The sequence below is a fragment of the Homo sapiens genome, chromosome 3, assembly GCF_000001405.40.
Source record: "Homo sapiens chromosome 3, GRCh38.p14 Primary Assembly".
NCBI classification, from domain to species: domain Eukaryota; kingdom Metazoa; phylum Chordata; class Mammalia; order Primates; family Hominidae; genus Homo; species Homo sapiens.
In genome coordinates this window covers 159,620,817-159,639,863 of record NC_000003.12, presented here as the reverse complement: position 1 = coordinate 159,639,863, position 19,047 = coordinate 159,620,817, and the positions used below count along the sequence as shown (strand labels likewise).

At 38.2% G+C, this 19,047-nt stretch overlaps 2 protein-coding genes across 7 annotated transcripts in view, besides 1 other annotated feature; both read right to left on the bottom strand.

The window, feature by feature from the left end:
- The window catches only part of IQCJ-SCHIP1 (IQCJ-SCHIP1 readthrough), an 828,041-nt gene that overhangs the window by 257,496 nt on the left and 551,498 nt on the right, over positions 1 to 19,047 (bottom strand). The window lies entirely within an intron of this gene.
- SCHIP1 (schwannomin interacting protein 1) overlaps positions 1 to 19,047 on the bottom strand; it is a 624,116-nt gene that overhangs the window by 257,496 nt on the left and 347,573 nt on the right. The gene's annotated exons all lie outside the window — the stretch shown is intronic.
- Positions 7,272 to 7,782: an enhancer, noted in NCBI's record as "NANOG hESC enhancer chr3:159349871-159350381 (GRCh37/hg19 assembly coordinates)". NCBI's record gives its function as "activates a minimal SCP1, AML or CMV promoter by ChIP-STARR-seq in primed H9 embryonic stem cells {active_cell/tissue: H9 hESC(primed)}" and the evidence as "EXISTENCE:reporter gene assay evidence [ECO:0000049][PMID:30033119]".

Below are 19,047 nucleotides of genomic sequence, written 5' to 3'. Positions count from 1 at the left end.
AATAAGAAACTGAGACTAGGAGGTTAAGCAATTCAGTTGTCCAGCGTCACATAATTAATGATGAACTCTGGTTTAAAGTCCTCCAAAACCTCTGTCTGTACACCCCATTACCTTCCAAACTACGTGGAGAGGCTAACATCTACAGTGGGGTCTATGAAGAAATAAAATAGATTGTTACAAACCATAGACTCATATGGTTCCTTTAATGTATAAATTGTTTATACACCGATGTTAAAGATGCTGTCAAACCTCTTTGGATTTACTGCTGGAACTCTAGCACACATTGTTTTAAATAGCCCCAAGGATGCTAAATATTTGCCGTTATTTAGCCATAAAACACACCTTTTCTATGGGTCTGATTTTTGGAAATGGTTAAAAATTATTAATGGCTTAATCAAGTAAATGAATTGAGTAATTAAGATGGGTGACAGAATTAAAAAGAAACCAAAAAAAGGAAATAAAATATGATTATAAAAATAAATGCAATTCTATACTTCCTGGAGTGTTTGTTACCAAACCAGCATTACTATCTTATGCCTCACATGCACGTGAAAAAGGATTTTCCAATAAGAAGAAAAACACATTTAAGATCCAATAAATGGTACAGAAAAATGAGGACTAAGGGTGAGATTTTGGAGAGCTGAGATGAATCAATAATTTTAACAATAATGATTTGATCTGATATGTGCCTGCTAAACTTGGCCTTCATTCACCTCTTTCATTCACAGAAAAAGGCAAAACTGACTGCCTCTCACAAAAATAACAAAACTTGGGGATTTTAAGAAATTTAAATATTTTACAATTTTTAATAAGCAGTTGAGAATTACAAAAGATTAAAGAAGAATAGATAAATTATGTAAATGTCTAGGTCATTCAGAAGAGCACTTTAAATCAATTGTCTCAAAGTAGGGCACTCGAGATAATCCACAAGAGTTCAGAAAGAATATTGGAACTTCAACATCTATTTTTAAAAATCTCATACTTTAAAGATTCTATTTGTTTGTTTTATTATCTACATGATTTAATAGTTCAATATTATGTGAATATTCATAAATACGTATGCATATGTAATATATAAATGAATATAAGTATTTATATATTGATGAGGTGGTATGTGATCAAAAAACCCTGGGACCACTGCTTTAGACCCACTCAGGAGAGACTAAGTGGGACAGGCTCAATGGAGACAACATAACGCTATCAAATGGCAGAGATCGCACCCCCTCTAGCTGTTTTTTTTTTTTTTTTCCTCTATAATAGGGCCATAGGAGGTTGTCTGGAGAAAGGTTTTTTAATGCTTTGGGTGTCTACCACCTTGAAGTCTTTCATATTCTTTGTGCACTCTGACTTGGGCTTGGGGTGATGTAGTTGAATGAGCAGCCCTTGCTAGGTGAAAACCTAAAAGAAGAGCATTGGTCTAATGTGCTCCACTTAGGGGTGGAGAAATACGATTATGACTCAGGTGAGACAAGGCAAGCTACAATTAATAAGACCCTTGATCTCCATAGCTGGGACTCTTGCCAAAGAAGTGGTTTCATTGACTGGTGTTGGGAAACTCATTAGGATGTCAAGCATGAAATGAAAATCTTGTAGAGTGACAGAGCTGAGAGACCTTAGAGGTTATCCAGTCTACTGTCTCATTTTACAGCAAAAAATTGAGGTACACGGAAATCATGTAGGTGTATCTCATTAATGCAGGAGGCAAGGACAGTCTGTATCTTCTAGGCCAGTCCAAATCTTAGCTGGACTCAGAAGGAGGACTTGGTACTTGAGAACATGAGACTATTTTACTTTCTAAGGAATGCACATTCCACATGACTCATGTTAGCTTTTCAATTTTCCATTTATATAGGGAAAACTGTTATGGAGAGACAATTTTGAAGAGTTCACATTGTGATACATAGATGGACTACATGTAACTCTTCTAAAAATATTCAAATATAGCACATTTCAGTCTTAATTCTATGGGCATAAGCATTTAGTATTTTATTTACCCTCTCAGGGACAGAAATTTTAAATATTATAGAAATATCTTGTAATGGCCAATGCTGGCATTTTCCCAAGCATTTTTATAGCTAATCCTTGGGAATTTTTCCATATATGTTTTATTGAAAGCAACAAAGAATATAATGCAATGATAACTCTCAAAAGGAAAATGTTAATTATTTCACTCTGTATGACTTTTCTAGAAGGAGATTTTGGGCCTCTGTGTGTCTCATTAATTTAAACACTAGATTTTCTCTAAGGAATTCCAGTCTGAGTTTATGCTTTTGCAATTCCACATGCATTTCCCGAGTTTTCATTCCCTCTTTCTGGCATGTCCTTCCTGCCTGGCTAATGTCTCTATTTCCTTACAAACTTTCTTAGCAAGCTCAGGGGTTGCTTAAGAGACTTTCTCTTGGTTACTCCTATCTCCCACCCTTAGCAGAGAGAAGAGTCAGGTGTGTGTGTGTGTGTGTGTGTGTGTGTGTGTGTGTGTGTGTGTGTGTGTGGCTGGGGCCGGGGTTTCTTTTGTTATGAAATTTCTCAGGTTTTGCTGAAATTATCTGTGGAATTGTCTGTTCCCCACAGTAAGTCTTGAGTTCCAAAATGACAGATTGTTTTTTATGTCTACATTTTCAGTGTGGTGATAGTCTAGCACATGGTAGCTCCTGAAGCATGTTATTAGAGAAACACAAATTATTTTCAGAATCTTATTAAAGAACAATGAAAAATATCCTGAAATCTAATGGATACTAGTTACAGTGATTTGCTATTTACTTCAAATGATCAACTGTTCTTACATTAAATAAACCAGTCAGTTGCTTGGAAAGAAACAGCCTTCATTTGATTCATATCAGTAGTGTAATATCAATAAGTTAACTCCCCTCAGTTTCAGATTGAGCTGAGAAAATTCTAGGTAATTGTTTTGAGAACATGAGTAGCTAAAACTACAAACTACAACTAATAAAGTATTGGAGAGGCAAGATGATACTTTGGCCTCAGTCTCTTCTTTGAAAATTGTTTATTTTGGTCTATTTCTATCATCTTACATTAATAGCTATAGTTCAAGAGGAATTATTACTTTAATATACTAGAATTCTCTTTTTGTCCTAGGCAGTCATGCAATGCATGCTTTAAACGTGTAGTCCCTTGATAAATTTATTTCATGCCAATTTCCCTCTGGATGAAAAATAAATGTTTTAACCTATGATGAATTCATGTTTCAGATCCTGCTGGGTTGGCACATTGTAGATGCCTATCACTTCTACATTTAAATTAAGAAAGGAAAACAGCGGTAAATTTTATGACCTAGATAAAAATCACATTCCTTTACAATTCCTTATCCTTATAGCTTGATAACTTTTAGGTCCTGAAATTGATTTTTTAAAAAAGTCTAATTTCTTCCTTACAATTTATGGATTTCTCTCCCTCTCTGTTCTTCAATTAGCTTCAGCAGAGAAAACAGAGTTACCAGTGTGGTGCTTATGGTTTGATTCTCTTGTATTAATTTAAATGTAAAATATTGCAAAATTAGGCTGGGTGCGGTGGCTCATGCCTGTAATCCCAGCACTTTGGGAGGCCGAGGCAGGTGGATCACTTCAGGCCAGGAGTTCAAGACCAGCCTGGCCAACATGGTGAAACCCCGTCTCTACTAAAACTACAAAAATTAGCCGGGCATGGTGGCACATGCCTGTTGTCCCAGCTACTCTGGGGGCTAGGCAGGAGAATCACTTGAACCCAAAAGGCAAAGGCTGCAGTGAGCTGAGATTGTGCCACTGCACTCCAGCCTGGGCAGCAGAGCAGGACTCTGTCTCCAAAATAATAAAATAAAATAATAAAATATTGCAAAATTAAAACACTGCCAATAAAATCTCCATTTTTTTTCAAAAGAAAAATGGTTAGCATGAGATCTTTTCCATTGCATTCCACACCTGCCTACAAAACTAACAAAGTACAAGGCGTATACTTTCCTCTTTCTCCCAAATATCTATTAAGACAATGATAACTTTTATCAAGAAAAGAGCATAGTTTGATTCCTGAATGTTTATTTCTAAATCTCTTGTCCTCACAAAGAACTGCATTTGTGATTATGAAATGTCCTTCTTTACCTAAGTTTCGGTATGTTTTCAAATGAAAAGCTTTCAAATGAGAGTAAGCTGAAATGTTGAAATGAGAGTAAGCTGAAACATTTAAATGTTTTCAAATGAGAGTAAGGAAGCTAGACTCACAAAGGAGGAGAAATAATTTGTCATTCATCATTCATTTTCTCATTCATATACTCATCCAGAGGAAACATGGTGTCACACAGAAGAACCTGAGTCTCAATATCCCCTCAAGAAACTTACAAACCAGAAGGAAGAAGAAGCTATATTATAATTATATTACAGGCAGGATGGGAATCCCACAGGAATGGTATTTCACTATGCATAGATACTGCTCTATGGGTGGTCAAAACACTAAAATACTTCCATGTCAATTAGGTACAGCTACTCTTCTGGCCTCCCAAGCACCATCGTTGCCCCTCGAGTCCCTGACTAGAGACCCCCCATCCCTACCACCTCTCCCATGGTCCAGCAACTAAAAGTAGAAGGCTTGTGCTGGCTAGGAGCTCCTGCCCGACTGCTCCTCTGCTTGCTTGGCTAATGCCTGGGCAGTTGTGGTTGTGAAATATTTGACTTATCACTCATAGATAAATGATACAAAGAGAACAGGTTCATTGGGAAACAGCCTCCAGATGGATTTCAACTATCTGCAAAGTTAGAATTGTAAAAAGCAGAGTAAGAGGAATTGAAACTCCATTTTACAGCCTAGATTTGCAGAATATCTTCAGAAAATTCTGGTTCTTCTTATAATACAAAGACGAAGGTTGTAAGCAGGGCTGGCTACTAAAACGTGTGCATTTACAGATCAGGTGGAGCTCTCAAAAAACACAGGCATGGAAGTTTAGTTGCTTTGTTTGCCACCCATGATTTTCAGCTTGTGTTGTCAAATTTGCATTTGAAGGCGCTATTAAGCCATGGCATCAAAATAATGATGACAGTTGCTGCAAAATATAAGAAATCAAAAGGAAAAGGGGGGGAAAACTTCTGAAGAGAAGAATGGCTCCAAATGCGGTAATTATGCAGAGCTGTGACGAGCCTCATTCACATATAATGTATACTTTGGGCAAGGGAAGAAGTGCTGTACAAACAAATCTGAGAACAACCTGCAATTCCCATCAGCCACACACAGTGCAGGGGCTGCTTTTGTGGTCTAGACAAGAGTGACTCAGAAAAATAAGTAATTTGCAGTGGAGCACAGGCACTAAGGGAAATTTGTCAAAATCAGTGTGGAAGTCATAACAAAAGGAAGATAAATTTGGTTTCTTTGCCTTTGTGAAACCAACGACTAAACTGAGAGGTGGGCCTCTAACTGTTCAGCATTTCCTATTTGTTTATTCTGGCTGGAAAAACTTGAATTCTTACAGATTTTGATGAAATCTGATACACTGGTTTAAAAATAAATATTTGTTAACCAAAGTAATACACTTACATAGTTTATTTCTTTTTTTCTTATTTTTACGGTATGAAACATTACTAAAAGTAAACTAACCCTCTTCCATTCTTCATTTCTACCTCCCAGAGGCAATCCATTGCAACTCTTAATGACTTTTTCTTTTAAAATATACACTCTCTCTGCATTTCTAACTAGCATCTTAATATTACTATTGCTTATGTAACACATTTTAAACATAATCTCTTTATTTTCTGTTACTAAGCTCTCTAATTTACCCCCTAAAATCCTTGAAAAACAAATCCTCCAAACTTCCCCATATCCCATCCCTTCATATGTCACAATCTTTGGTTAAATCTATAGTCAGTCTTTGTTTTTGTCGCTAAATATTACTACTAAGTTGACTAGTGTTCTAAGATTACAGGTTTTTTTGAGTTAATTATTGCTTTTTTTACTGTTATGCGTAGGTCCATGTATGTATTTTCCCCACTCCAAATATTTCAAAAAACCCTCTAATGCCTATCACTAATATTTTCCAAATATTTCATCACATCAGATATCTGATTGTTCTAACCTTTCTTTAGTGGAAACTCTTTTTTTGGTTTATTTTCTTGTTTTGCTAAAAATGAATTCTCAATGTACTTCCTAATTAAGAGTGTATAGGATATATATTTCTTGAGCCATATATATGGAAAAATATATTTCTTCTTGCTTGTGCACTTGAGTTTTGATACGTCTGGTAGAAAATTTCATATTAAAATTACTTCCCTCTGAATTCCCAGGGAACTACTCCATTCTTTTCATGCTTCCAGTGTTGCTATTGAAGAGTCTGATGTCATTTTAATTTTTGAATTTTGTATGTGATTTACTTTTCTTCTCTGAAAGCTGTTAGGACTTTTTCTTTACTCCCAATGTTCTGCAATTTCACTGAGATGGTGTGCCCTGTGGGTGGGGCCCTTTCTCTCTCTCCCACCTCCATTTATTGTGCCGGGCATTGGTGGTACCTTTCAATTTGGAGACGTGTGCTTTTCAGGTCTGCCACATTTTTACATATTACATCTTTAATACATGTCACCCTCTGGCTTTTCTGTTGTCCCTTGTGGGATGAGCTTCCTTACAGAATAAATTCAAGGTTTATTATATGTATATAGATACCTGCAGTAGAAAGTGTGATATCTCAAAGGAGAAAAACACAGGGAAAATGAAGATTTTGTGTTAAAAATCTGTGTCCCAACCCTTAGTTCAATTCTGAAATTATGAGACTGCAGAGTTTAAAAGCAAAAGAATGAAATTCCAAGGTGTGGAATTTCAGGGTGTGGTCTGAGTTTTCAAGGGTGTGGCCATAAGTTTTCTCAGACCTAGGAGAAGGTTTTCACTGTTGGTGCTTATTCCCTGGGGCTATAACTGAACTAAATCTAGAGTCAACCTTCTGATACAACCCTAGAAGAAAAGGCAACTTTCATCTTCAGCACCTTATTTAGAAGTCTCCCACATGTGCCCCTTAACAGTTAAGGAGCTTTCAAGCTAGGGGTCCACATCTCCCCACCTTGTGGTTTAAACCTATCTTCTTTTGAAATATCCTGAGTATCATCAACATCAGGGACAGATTTCCTGGGAGCTCATCATAGTCCGTCCTCCCCTGGCAGTTCAGTTGCCCTTCAGTCAGACCAGCTCAAGACAAAACCCTGAGCAAACTAGCAGTGCTCTAGGTCTTTGCTTGATGATCCAATTCCATGGCAGGGCCCAGTTCTAAAACTATTTGTTCCAAGTTTGAGATACATGGCTACAATATCATTTGTGCTTTCTCTCTGACAAAGGGAAGGAGAGCAAGGTCCAGAAGCCAGTTGCTAATACAACAAAATTAGCTTCCCTCCTTTCCCCAAAATGGGAAAAGCCTTGGTGCCTGATGTTTGGTCCTACACAGCCAAAGGCCTCGCCCTGAGGGAGAGGGAGTCCCAGGAAGAAACTAGCTGATGTTTGCATCCCACCTCCTATTCAGTGGAAAGTTGTTATCTGACTCTTCTAATCTCTGCAGAGTCCTTCAGGCCAGCTGGGCAGCTGCATTCCAAGGGAGAAGTGTCTCTTTGAAGTTGGCGCCTGTAGACGTCTTGGCCTACATGGGGCTGCAGCGCAGAGCTAAAGCTTTGCAGAAGGCTCACAATAATCCGGATTCAGGCTACATCTCCTCCAAGAGGTTTTCTAGGGCAAGACGACACATAGCCACATTTTTCTAGTCCTCAAACGAGCTGGTTGCAAGGTTGTTGCCAGCCCTAGTACAATCTAGATGATGGCCTCTCCATTCCCAAGGGACTTCATACATAGCTAAAACATAGATTTAAAAAATCTTACCATATTTTTTTTTGTTTTCTTTCTTTTTGAAAAGTAAAATTTAGAGTTTTTAAAAACATAGAATACATATTCATTAAGGAAAAAAGAATACAAATAAGTGGAGAAAGTAAGAGATGAGGTGGGGGGTGCATATCACACAGAGAAACCATTGTTAATATTTAGAGATGTTCCATTTTTTTCCACTGCTTATTAAAAAAATTTTTTTGTGGTAAAATATAAAATTTACTATTTTAACCATGTTTAAGTGTAAAATTCAGTGGCACGAAATACATTCATAATCTTGTATAACCATCACAACTATCTAGAGTGTTTCATTATCTCAACCAGAAATTCTGTAACTATTAAGCGATAACTCCCTATTCCCCATTCCCTCCAGCCCCTGGTAACCTCTATTCTAATTTCTGTCTCTGTCGATTTGCCTACACAAAATAGCTCCTATTAGTGGAACCATACAATGTTGGCCTTTTGTTTCTGCCTTATTTCACTTAGCATAATATTTTCAAAGTTTATTGACAGGGTAGCGTGTGTCATAACTTAATTCCTTTTTATCCTTGAATAATATTTTATTGTATGTATTTACTTTGTTCATTGGCTGGTCAACACTTGTTTCTACCTTTTGGCTATTGTGACTCATGCCACTATGAACATTGGTCTTCAAGTGTCTGTTAGAGTTCCTGTTTTAAATTCTTTTGAGTATATACTTAGAAATGGAATTATGGGTCCATATAGTAATTCTATGTTTAAATTTTTGAGAAACCATCAAACTGTTTTCCACAGTAGTCACACCATTTTACATTCCCAGCTGCAATGCATGAGGGTTTTGATATCTCCATATTGTTGCCAACACTTGTTATTTTCTGGGTTTTTTTTTTTAAGTTTTAGTAATAGCCATCCTAGCATGTGTTAAGTAGTATCTTACTGTGGTTTTTATTTGCATTTCCCTAATTACTAATGATGTTCAGCACCTTTTCATGTACTTATTTCTCCTTTGTATGTTTTCTTTGGATAGATATCTTTTCAAATTCTTTGCCCACGTTTTAACTTTTTTTTTGGTACTTTCCTTGTAATTCAACTTTGGGTGAAAATGCACCACTACCCAAATCAGGAGGTTTGAATACCACATCTAATTTTAACACTATTATTTTTTAAGATTTTATCCAATTTCTTTTATTTCAATAGGCTTTTGGGGAACAGGTGGTGTTTGGTTACATGAATAAGTTCTTTAGTGGCGATTTCTGAGATTTTGGTGCACCCATCGCCCAAGCAGTGTACACCGTACCTAATTTGTAGTCTTTTATCCCTCACCTCCCTCCCTTTTCCTGTAGTCCCCAAAGTCCAATGTATCATTCTTATACCTTTGTGTCCTCATAGCTTAGCTCCACTTATGAGCGAGAATGTTTGTGTCCTCATAGCTTAGCTCCACTTACGAGTGAGAACGTATGATGTTTGGTTTTCCATTCCTGAGTTACTTCATTTAGAATAAGGGTCTCCAATTCCATCCAGGTTGCTGCAAATGCCATTATTTAGTTCCTTTTTATGGCTGAGTAGTATTCCATGGTGTATATATATATACCACATTTTCTTTATCCACATATACTCGTTGGTTGATGGGCATTTGGGCTGGTTCCATAGTTTTGCTATTGTGAATTGTGCTGCTATAAACATCTTTGCCCATTTAAAAATTGGATTGTTTCTCTTTTGTTTCTAGTCACTTTTTTACATAGTTTTAAAAAAAATTCTGTAGATGAGGTCATACAGTGTGGAATTTTTTCTTAATTTTCCGCATAACCATTGAGATTAATCATATGTGTGTTTTTCTTTCATCAGATTGAGCCCCTGAAGGTCAGTGATCAAGATTATGTCTCTGCTTCATTTTATGTATTCCCAATGTGCATCTCATATTTTAGTAAAGGGGAAATTGAAACTTTACAGTTTCATAAATGTGTAATGCTCTTTCATGCTTCTGGGGCTTTGTACATTCTCTTTGGCTGCCACTGTCTTTCCAATTTCCTTCATCTGCCTTATTTCCTTCTTACCCCTCATAATCCCAGCCTTCCCTGACTTTTAGAACAGAGTTGATAAGTTCCTGCTTTGTTCCGCCACTTATAATAGTGTCTTGCAATACTTTATTTACTTGTCTGTCCTCCCTCCTGGGCTGTGAGGTCCTTGACTGCAGAGTGCATGCCTTATTGGTCTTTGTATTCTCAGTGCCTGTCAAGGATTCTGGAACACAGCAGATATTTAATAAATGTGTGTTGAGTGAAGGAAATGTGGAAATTTGTTTTTAAAAATACAGGATTTGTTTATAAACATAAATGAGGCCCAGGGCTTTCACATGGTCTATTTTGTTTAATCTCTACAACAGCCTTGTGAAGGAGGTGGAATTGAGCCCACTTTACAGATGCAGAGGCTCAGGGAGGCTGTGACTTGCCCCAGGTCACATGCTGGTAAGTGTTGTCCTGCAACAAGTCACTTTCATTCTGGAAATCACAATTTGCTGTTGACTGCAACTGCCAGGCCTGTTGATAGGCATGATTCATCCTTTAAACTAACTGCCTGATCCCTGAACAATAAGATTTGGTAGGAATAAAGTGTTAATTCAGAAGCTCAAAGATAAAATGAAAGGTTTTGTACCAAAATGGGACAGGGTGAACTCATCTTTGGAAAAGCAAATTTCTGAAATAAGCAAATGGAGAAGACTTAGCCAGAAAAAGAAAATTCAGTGTTTTGTTTTTGTTTTTCTTTTTCTTTTTTCTTTTTTTAGACAGGGTCTCTTTCTGTTACCCAGAGTGGAGTGCAGTGGCTTGATCACAGGTCACTGCAGCCTGGACCTCCTGGGGTCTCAATGTCTTCTTAAGAGAATAATGTAATCAAGTTGTGTGTGTGTGTGTGTGTGTTTTTGTTTAACTTCAAGTAACTTGATGAGTTACAGATACAGAATATATTATGCATTATCATTACCGTATTTTCAGCATGTATAATTGATAGAATGTACTCTTTTGAGTTTATCATCTATTATTTTTAGGATAATGTCTAAATAAAGGAAGATTCACTTTTTTTACCTCATCTTTTGTGTATTTTATAGAGACAATTTTTCTTAAAGAGTGGGCTTTGTCTATTCTCCACCAACTGTATGTTTTTATGATTTTATGTTGTATTTTTAGTAAATTTTTACACATAAAAAATCTTTAAAACATAATCAGGTGCTGCTTTGATATCTTTAATATTTCAGATTTTATGGCCATGCTATAAAGGTCATTTTGTGTTTTGTTATTTTTTATATTGTTTTATTGACCTTGTTTTACACATAGAAAATGCCTGTTAATAGCTATGTGTCTACATGTATTGTTGGCTTTTCCTAAATTCTGGGTTTAAATAAACAGGTATACCTTTGGGTTCTCATACATCTTTTACTTTCAATTCTTGTATTTTTTTCCATTTCTAGAATGTTTGTGTAATTCTTTCTTACAGATTCCAGGTCTTTGGTGAAATTCTATATCTTGTTTTGCATTTTCTTGAACCTAATAATCATAGTTATTTTAAAGTATGTCTGAAAAATCCAATATCTGCATCACTTGTACGTCAGCTTCCATTTTCTGTTTTTCTTCTTCTCTTGGTCCTAGTTCTTGGCATGCATGGTAACTTTAGATGAATGTCAGACACTGTGCATGAAGTATTGAAGATGCTCTGGATGATGTTAACTATTTTCCCAAATATATTCTGTCAGACAGGAGCAAACCTCCACAATTCGACCCTAACCCTCACAGCTCGTTCCAAGCTTTGTAAGTTGTTTCTTCTTCTGTTCACCTACATTTCTTGAGTGTAGGTCTCTAGTGTAAGTCCCTGAGTGCTTAGAGGTCTTCTCCTCTTTGGTGAGCCTTGAACTCCAACTTTGATCTCACAGCTCTACAAGACTGCTAAAAACTCCACTCCTCAGTTACTTTGGCTTCTTAGCCTCTTGCTCTTCAAAACTTAAGAATTAGCAAATGTCCTGAGATGAAAACTTGGTTAAAATGATGGGTTCACTTTTCTGCATTAATTTATTTCTTAGGATCTTGGTTCCCAAAGTTCTGACTGCTTTAGTAAGCCCAACCCTTTCCTCCAGCCAAATGAGGTTATGGAAAGCTCTATGGGTTTTATCTACCTTTCAGCAGCTGCCTTCCGTCCAAAACCACGTAAGAGTCAGCAAACACTTTTACAAGCATTGCAAAGCACACAATATTGACATTGCCTCAATAAATTTCTCTTCTCTTCGGGATCTTGGCCTCCAAGTCCTGGCAGCCTCAGAAACCCTCCAGTAGATTTTAAAAATAATTTGATTCAGCCTATCAAGTTGTTCTTCAGATGAATATTTTTCTTCATCATAGGCTCAACCTGGCTAGGCCATCTCACTAGGCGATGAACTCCCAGATAAGCAACATAGCACAACTTACTGGGAAGAATATGCCAGATAGACTTAGGTGCAAATCCTGGCTCAACCAGTTTCTAACCAATTTCTAGCTCTTGGGCAATTATTTTACATCTTTGATTCTTCATTTGTGTATCTGTAAAATGGGAATTATAATAGTACTTCCCTCATAGGGTGAGGATTAAATGAGGTAATTTGCTGAGAATAGTGTCTGGCAGACAGCCAGTGCCAAGTAAATGTTGTTTTCCTGTCTTTTCTCTGCCTGGGGCCATTCCTGTGGATAAAATATATTTGCCTCACCATGCAGTTTGAGAGAAAATAAAATATTTAAATAAATCTTTTACGGATAACTTAGAAGATTCTCTGCTACCATAGTGGCGTGGAGAAGTCCATGGTCTATAATTTCACTAATAATTACAAAAATGCCACAGTCTTTGCGGGGACATGGATGAAGCTGAAAACCATCATTCTCAGCAAACTAACACAGGAACAGAAAACCAAACAGTGCATGTTCTCATGCATAAGTGGGAGTTGAACAATGAGAACACATGGACACAGGGAGTGGAACAACACACACCGGGGCCCGTCGGGGTGGGGGCAAAGGGAGGGAGAGCATTAGAACAAATACCTAATGCACGTGGGGTTTAAAACCTAGATGATGGGTTGATAGCTGCAGCAAACCACCATGGCACATGTATAGCTATGTAAAAAACCTGCACATTCTGCACTTGTATCCCAGAACTTAAAAGCCTCAGTCAAATGGCAGCTGACTGGCAATATAATACTGTTTTGTCTAGGACACTTGCCAATCCCAATGCATGTACAAAAGGGAGGACAGGAATGCAATCTAGGAGACCAGCTTCTTCAGGGACTGCATCAGGGGACAACAAACCACACAACAGCCTGTAGAATCCTCACATGAGAAGGATACTTCTCACAACTGAATGGTCTTGTTAGTCTGGCCTGAATGTGAAAAAGCAAACTACTATCTACACCAGGCAAACTGTTATGTTTGCTAAGCTTTGTTTGGTGGATAAATTTTTTAACCTCTTGAGTTTACTATCACATTATATAATATAATGGGTCATTCATGCCCCAGACGACCCTTGTTGGACCACTGATAGAGAGCCACTAGTATAGAAACTGGTGACATCATGTCTGATTAGATCCTTCAAGAAACATGGGCAGGAAGGACTCCAGGTACCATCTGAGACAGTGGCTGTAAGTGATATAGCCCCTGAGGTGAAGGAAGATAGACTCCACAAGCCCTCATTCCCAAAGTAAATAACTTGCTTCCTTTTCTTTTGTTCTTTGGTTAAGGTAAAAAAAAATCTATCTATCTATCTATCTATCTATCTATCTATCTATCTATCTATCTATATAGATAGATAGATATATCTAGATATATATATATCTAGATATATCTATCTATCTATCTATCTATCTATCTAGATAGATAGATATATCTAGATATATATATATATCTAGATATATCTATCTATCTATCTATCTATCTATCTATCTATCTATCTATCTATCTATATAAGCTGCACTCTAGAGTGGGGAAGCCTTCAGTCTTAGTTTTAGAAGGTGCCACAAGTTTAGTATAGAGCAACTACCATCGCTGTTCATGTCAAATCCTCCTGAGGGGAAAGCTGCTGTTGACCCAGTATTGGTTTAACAGCATCTTTTTCCTATTCCACCAGACAGCCCTGTATTTGCTAGCTGGGTTCTTCTCTGTCCTCTACATGTAGGGAGAAGCACAGTTGATCTACGTATTAACTTGCTGAGACATAGGGAGGGTAATACAGAAGGGAGGGAAGCCGTGAAGCTTGAGTGTGAAGGATGAGTTTACTCTAGAGGCAGGTGGGTGGGGATAAGTTGGGAGTTAAGGAGAAAGGCTTTGGAGAAGCTGTGGGTTGGAACAGTGGTGTGCAGACAAACCAGCTTTCTGGAAACAAAAAAGAGCCCATTTGTAGCCTTTGCCCAGTTCCATGGTGTAAGAATTCCAACTACGGCTGATTGCAAACTACTAACGTGAAGCAAACTCGCTAGAAAAATTTAGTGCAACATTAGGTAGGAGGGAAATAAAGAGAAGAGAAAAAAGATTTAGTATTTTAATCATTTTAATATTCTTTGAGAAAGAGGACAGAACAATGCTGTTACTTTGGGCTCTTGAGGTACGTATTTGAAATGTAATGCTATTCGAACTGGTCCCCATAAGCTTCCTGGTTAATAAGGGTGACTCTCAGACCAAAAGAGAGAAACAGGACTTAAGTAGCTGAACACTTATTATGTGTGGGCTGTTTCACAAGCTTTATGCCATTTATGCCTCCCAAAACCCCTAGGAGGCAGGTGTGATTGGTATTATTTTACAGATGAGGAAATGCAGATTCAGAGATTCAAAGTGAGGCCATAGGGTTAGGAAGTGGGAGATTTAGGAGGTGGACCTGGTTTCTCTAGCTCCAAGGGCCAAGGTTTTATCAGCACACTGCGCTGCACAGACCCCTGGTTCCACAGACCCAAGGCAAAGGTGATTGAGTTGTCTTAAGTCTGTTGTTTGTTGCTTTTCCTCAAAAGACCACTGTTCTCATGTTCTTGTTTTCTCTAACTGCCTCTTCCTTTCCTGTAGTGGCTCCTTTTATTCCAAAATTCAATATATAATGCTGGTTCAAGTGCATTGCAAACTTTCATCTCAGTGTGAGGGTTTTAGAGGGTATAAACCTTGCACACAAGGGAAGCTACAAGTTTAGGCTCAGGCTATCCAGGGAGATTGCCAAAGCCAAAAATCCCAAACAAGTCCCTCAGGTGCTGTGACTCACAACCTTTTCGTTGGAAGGCTCTTCTAGTTCTTCCTTGGGGCCCTGGATCTCTGGGTCATGGTGGTTCTTATTAGCTTAGCTCAAGATTGCTTCCTTAGCCCAAATTTAGCTATTATTTGTAGCTGCCCTTTCAATCTCCAGCCAAGTAGATGCCTATCTGCCTTCCACCCCCAATCTCCACGGCCTTAGGTGTCACTCGTTAAGTGGGTGAGTCGATAATCCATGAATTTTGGGTAAAACACACACCTCTAGGCCCAGTTATTATTCCATCTTCTAGCTTCTTGTTCTCTGCATGGTTTCTCCCTAATTACCCTGCATTTCTCCACCTCTAGGATTTGTCTGTCCTGGACACAGATCACCTCCATGCTGGGAGAATATTATACCTTTGCCCGTTAAAGGCAATCACTGAGTTGTCCAGAGGAAGCCTGATAGACTTTAATGTAAAAATGTTAGAAGTACCTGGATGAGTACTTGGAAAGCTGGAGAGTACAGGTCTATTAAAGTATGGTCTTGGCGTCACAGGTTACTTTGATTCCATTTAACAGTGAATTTATTTTCAAATCTCATGTTCTTGATCTGGAATATGGAACTATTAATGGAACATATTTTAGAGGGTTGCTGTGAGGATCAAATGTGATAATGCATATCTAATTGTGCTAATGCTTAGCACAATTCCTGGGCCAATAAAGAGTAACCATTATATATTTTTTTAATTTTGCACTATACATATTTCACAAGATACCTTTGCCATATGAAATAGTAACAATTTGTTCTTTGATTGACTAGTTATACATTAACTTGGAAACATCAGATTTCTGCCTTGTAGGAGAATCTTGTCCCTCCTATAATCAAGAGGCTTAGACTCAGGTGGAAGGCAGTGGGAGTAGGGAACACCTTTTATCATGGACTTAGCATTCCCAAGTTGTCTACTTTTGTGAGAGAAAGAAAACGTGGGGTATGGGCAAAATAGAGATTCTTTTTAAATTAAGGCAGAGCTTAAATGTGATCCTAGGGTTTTATGGGGTACACTACATTCTCTCTGCAGGATTCTTTTACCCAAAATCTTCCAAATTTTATACAAGTACCCTACAGCCTGCACCTGAACATTTACTTTTCCTACTAAAGGTAATGTAAGAAGCAGTTTCCATGTAAAGTGGAAAACTCTTTGTTTATTTATTTATTTAGAGATGGAGTCTCACTCTGTCACCCAGGTTGGAGTGCAGTGGCACGATCTCAGCTCACTGCAACCTCTGCCTCCCAGGTTCAAGCAATTCTCTTGCCTCAGCCTCCTTGGTAGCTGGGATTACAGGCATGCGCCACCATGCCCGGCTAATTTTTGTGTTTTTAGTAGAGACGTGGTTTCACCATGTTGACCAAGCTGGTCTCGAACTCCTAACCTCAGGTGATCCGCCTCCCTCAGCCTCCCAAGTAAAACTGTTTATTACTTTTCTTGTTATTCAAACAACATTATAACAACTTTAAACACACAGAAGAGGTATATACTTCTCAAGTTTCCCATTCCTATGAAAAATTTTCTCCCCACTTTAAAAATATTTCCTTTCAGGTCTTGTCTATATACATTTATTTTTTCCACAATTATATCTATAGTATAAATACAATTTTGCAGTTTACTTTTTAAAACACTTATGCCTACTTGATGAGCATTTTCAAGTCTATTAAGCTTGTAAGTCTATTTCTGTTGCCTGAGGATCATTCATTTAAGAGAATTAACTATGGTTCAATCAATGTTTTTCTAATGGAAGGTATTCAGTCTGTTGCCAATCCTGCAGATGACACTACAACAAACATTTTTGAATATATATATTTGTGTATGCACACCTATCTATGCACATATGTTTCCTCCATGTAAATTATTTTCTTTTTATTTTTTTGAGACAGAGTCTTACTCTGTCTCCCAGGCTGGAGTGCAGTGGCACAATCTCTGCTCACTGCAAGCTCCGCCTCCCGGGTTTATGCCATTCTCCTGCCTCTGCCTGCCTAGTAGCTAGGACTACTGGGCCCACCATCATGCCCGGCTAATTTTTTTGTATTTTTAGTAGAGACGGGGTTTCACTGTGTGAGCCAGGATGGGCTCGATCTCCTGACCTCGTGATCCACCCGCCTCGGCCTCCCAAAGTGCTGGGATTACAGGTGTGAGCCACCATGCCCGGCTGTAAATTATTTCTTTACAAAAGATTATTGTAATTTGTATTATTAAGGGGAACATTTGTATAGAGGCCAATATTTTTGAGCATTCACTTGTAAGGATTAATGAAATTGCAAAGGTCCTTACGATCTTGAGATAAAAAGAACTCTAGTGATACTGTAAACCTAGTATATTACTCCATGAAATAAAGCTATGTTCAGCTTCTGGGAAAATTCATCAGAAACAAATAGCATTTCTTTTCAGATCATGTATCTTTTATGCCTACAGATGCTATTTGTTTATATAATTATCTTAGTTGAAATTGGAAGAGCCCTTTAACCCAGAGTGTAACTATTCCTGGCAGTCAGATGTGTTGACATTGCTGTCTTGGACTTGCACCTCACATGGCCCCATTCGTTTCTGGTCAGCTGTGCCCCTGCCTGTGTGTTCTGGTGGCACCTTGCCTGCTTAGGAAACATGATGTCAGCTTGCTAGGTTCAAGCCTGAAGCAAAGTAGGTTCTGGGAAGCCTGACTGAAAACAGAGCTGCTTTGGAATTGCCTTGTGAATCTCTGGAACTATTTACACCTTCACTTCTGTGATAAAAAGGGATGCCGCTGTGTTGAAGGGAAAGGGTTAGAGGTTTTGCCAGGGGCCTTGTGGCTTGGAGACAGATGCCTTATTAAAACATACATGCAGGGCTGAGCACAGTGGCTCACGCCTGTAATCCCAGCACTTTGGGAGGCCGAGGCAGGCAGATCACCTAAGGTCAGAAGTTTGAGATCAGCCTGGCCAACCTGGTGAAACCCCGTCTCTACTAACAATACAAAAATTAGCCAGGCATGATGATGGGCACCTGTAATCCAAGCTACTAGGGAGGCTGAGGCAGGAGAAACACTTGAAGCCAGGAGGCGGAGATTGCAGTGGGACGAGATCATACCATTGTACTCCAACCTGGGTGACAAGACTGAAACTCTGTCTCAAAAAAAAAACAAAGAACAAAAACAACAACAACAAAAAAACCACACACACATGCACACCCATTCTGCTTCAGCTGCCTTTAAAAAAAGAAGCATATATAGTTGTTATATTATTAGAAAATGAAAGGATTAGCAGCCTCATTGGGGAACACAATGGTTTCACTCCAAGTTGGCTTTACTGTAGGCACTGGAGATGCAAATGAATACTGTGAGATAAAGAGTTGGAGATATTTGAGTTATATCAGAATTGCAAAGATTAAAAACTGTTAGTGGCTATGAAGAACTTGTCTGTCCTTCAGAAGCCCTGAGTTTCTTCAGCTAAGTATTCAGAAAAAGAAGCGGTCTTTAATGTTAGCTTGAAATTGTTGAATTTCCTCCCATTATGGTACTTACAGTATACTTGGCATATACAGAGTTGGTGCTTCTTTGAAACATGTACAAGTCTTGCAGATTCCTGTCCACTCATCAACTTACTATTCTTCCCAGCTTTCTGCATCCCAGGAACCTGCAGGGTTTTAGGTGAACACGGGAGCACACCTGACAGTGATATGGTACCACATCAACAGTGTTTCTCATCACATAGCCTGCCGCTGATTTCCTTCCCATCATAGTGAGTAATAGATGACTCAGTCGGGATGTCAGAAAGGTGCTGGGCATTTGCTTACTTATAAAAGGCATGTTGAAATGTTATATTTTTAGATGCTTAACATATTTGTGCAAATACCAGAAAATACAAACTTAGAGCTACAATCCGACTGTCAGGCTAATTCCATGATTAGGTAGTTTAAGGGATGCCATGAGAAGAATAATTAAAACAATTTTTAAAAAAAGCCTGAAGCTATATTCAAGGAAAAGAAAAGGCTTTGCT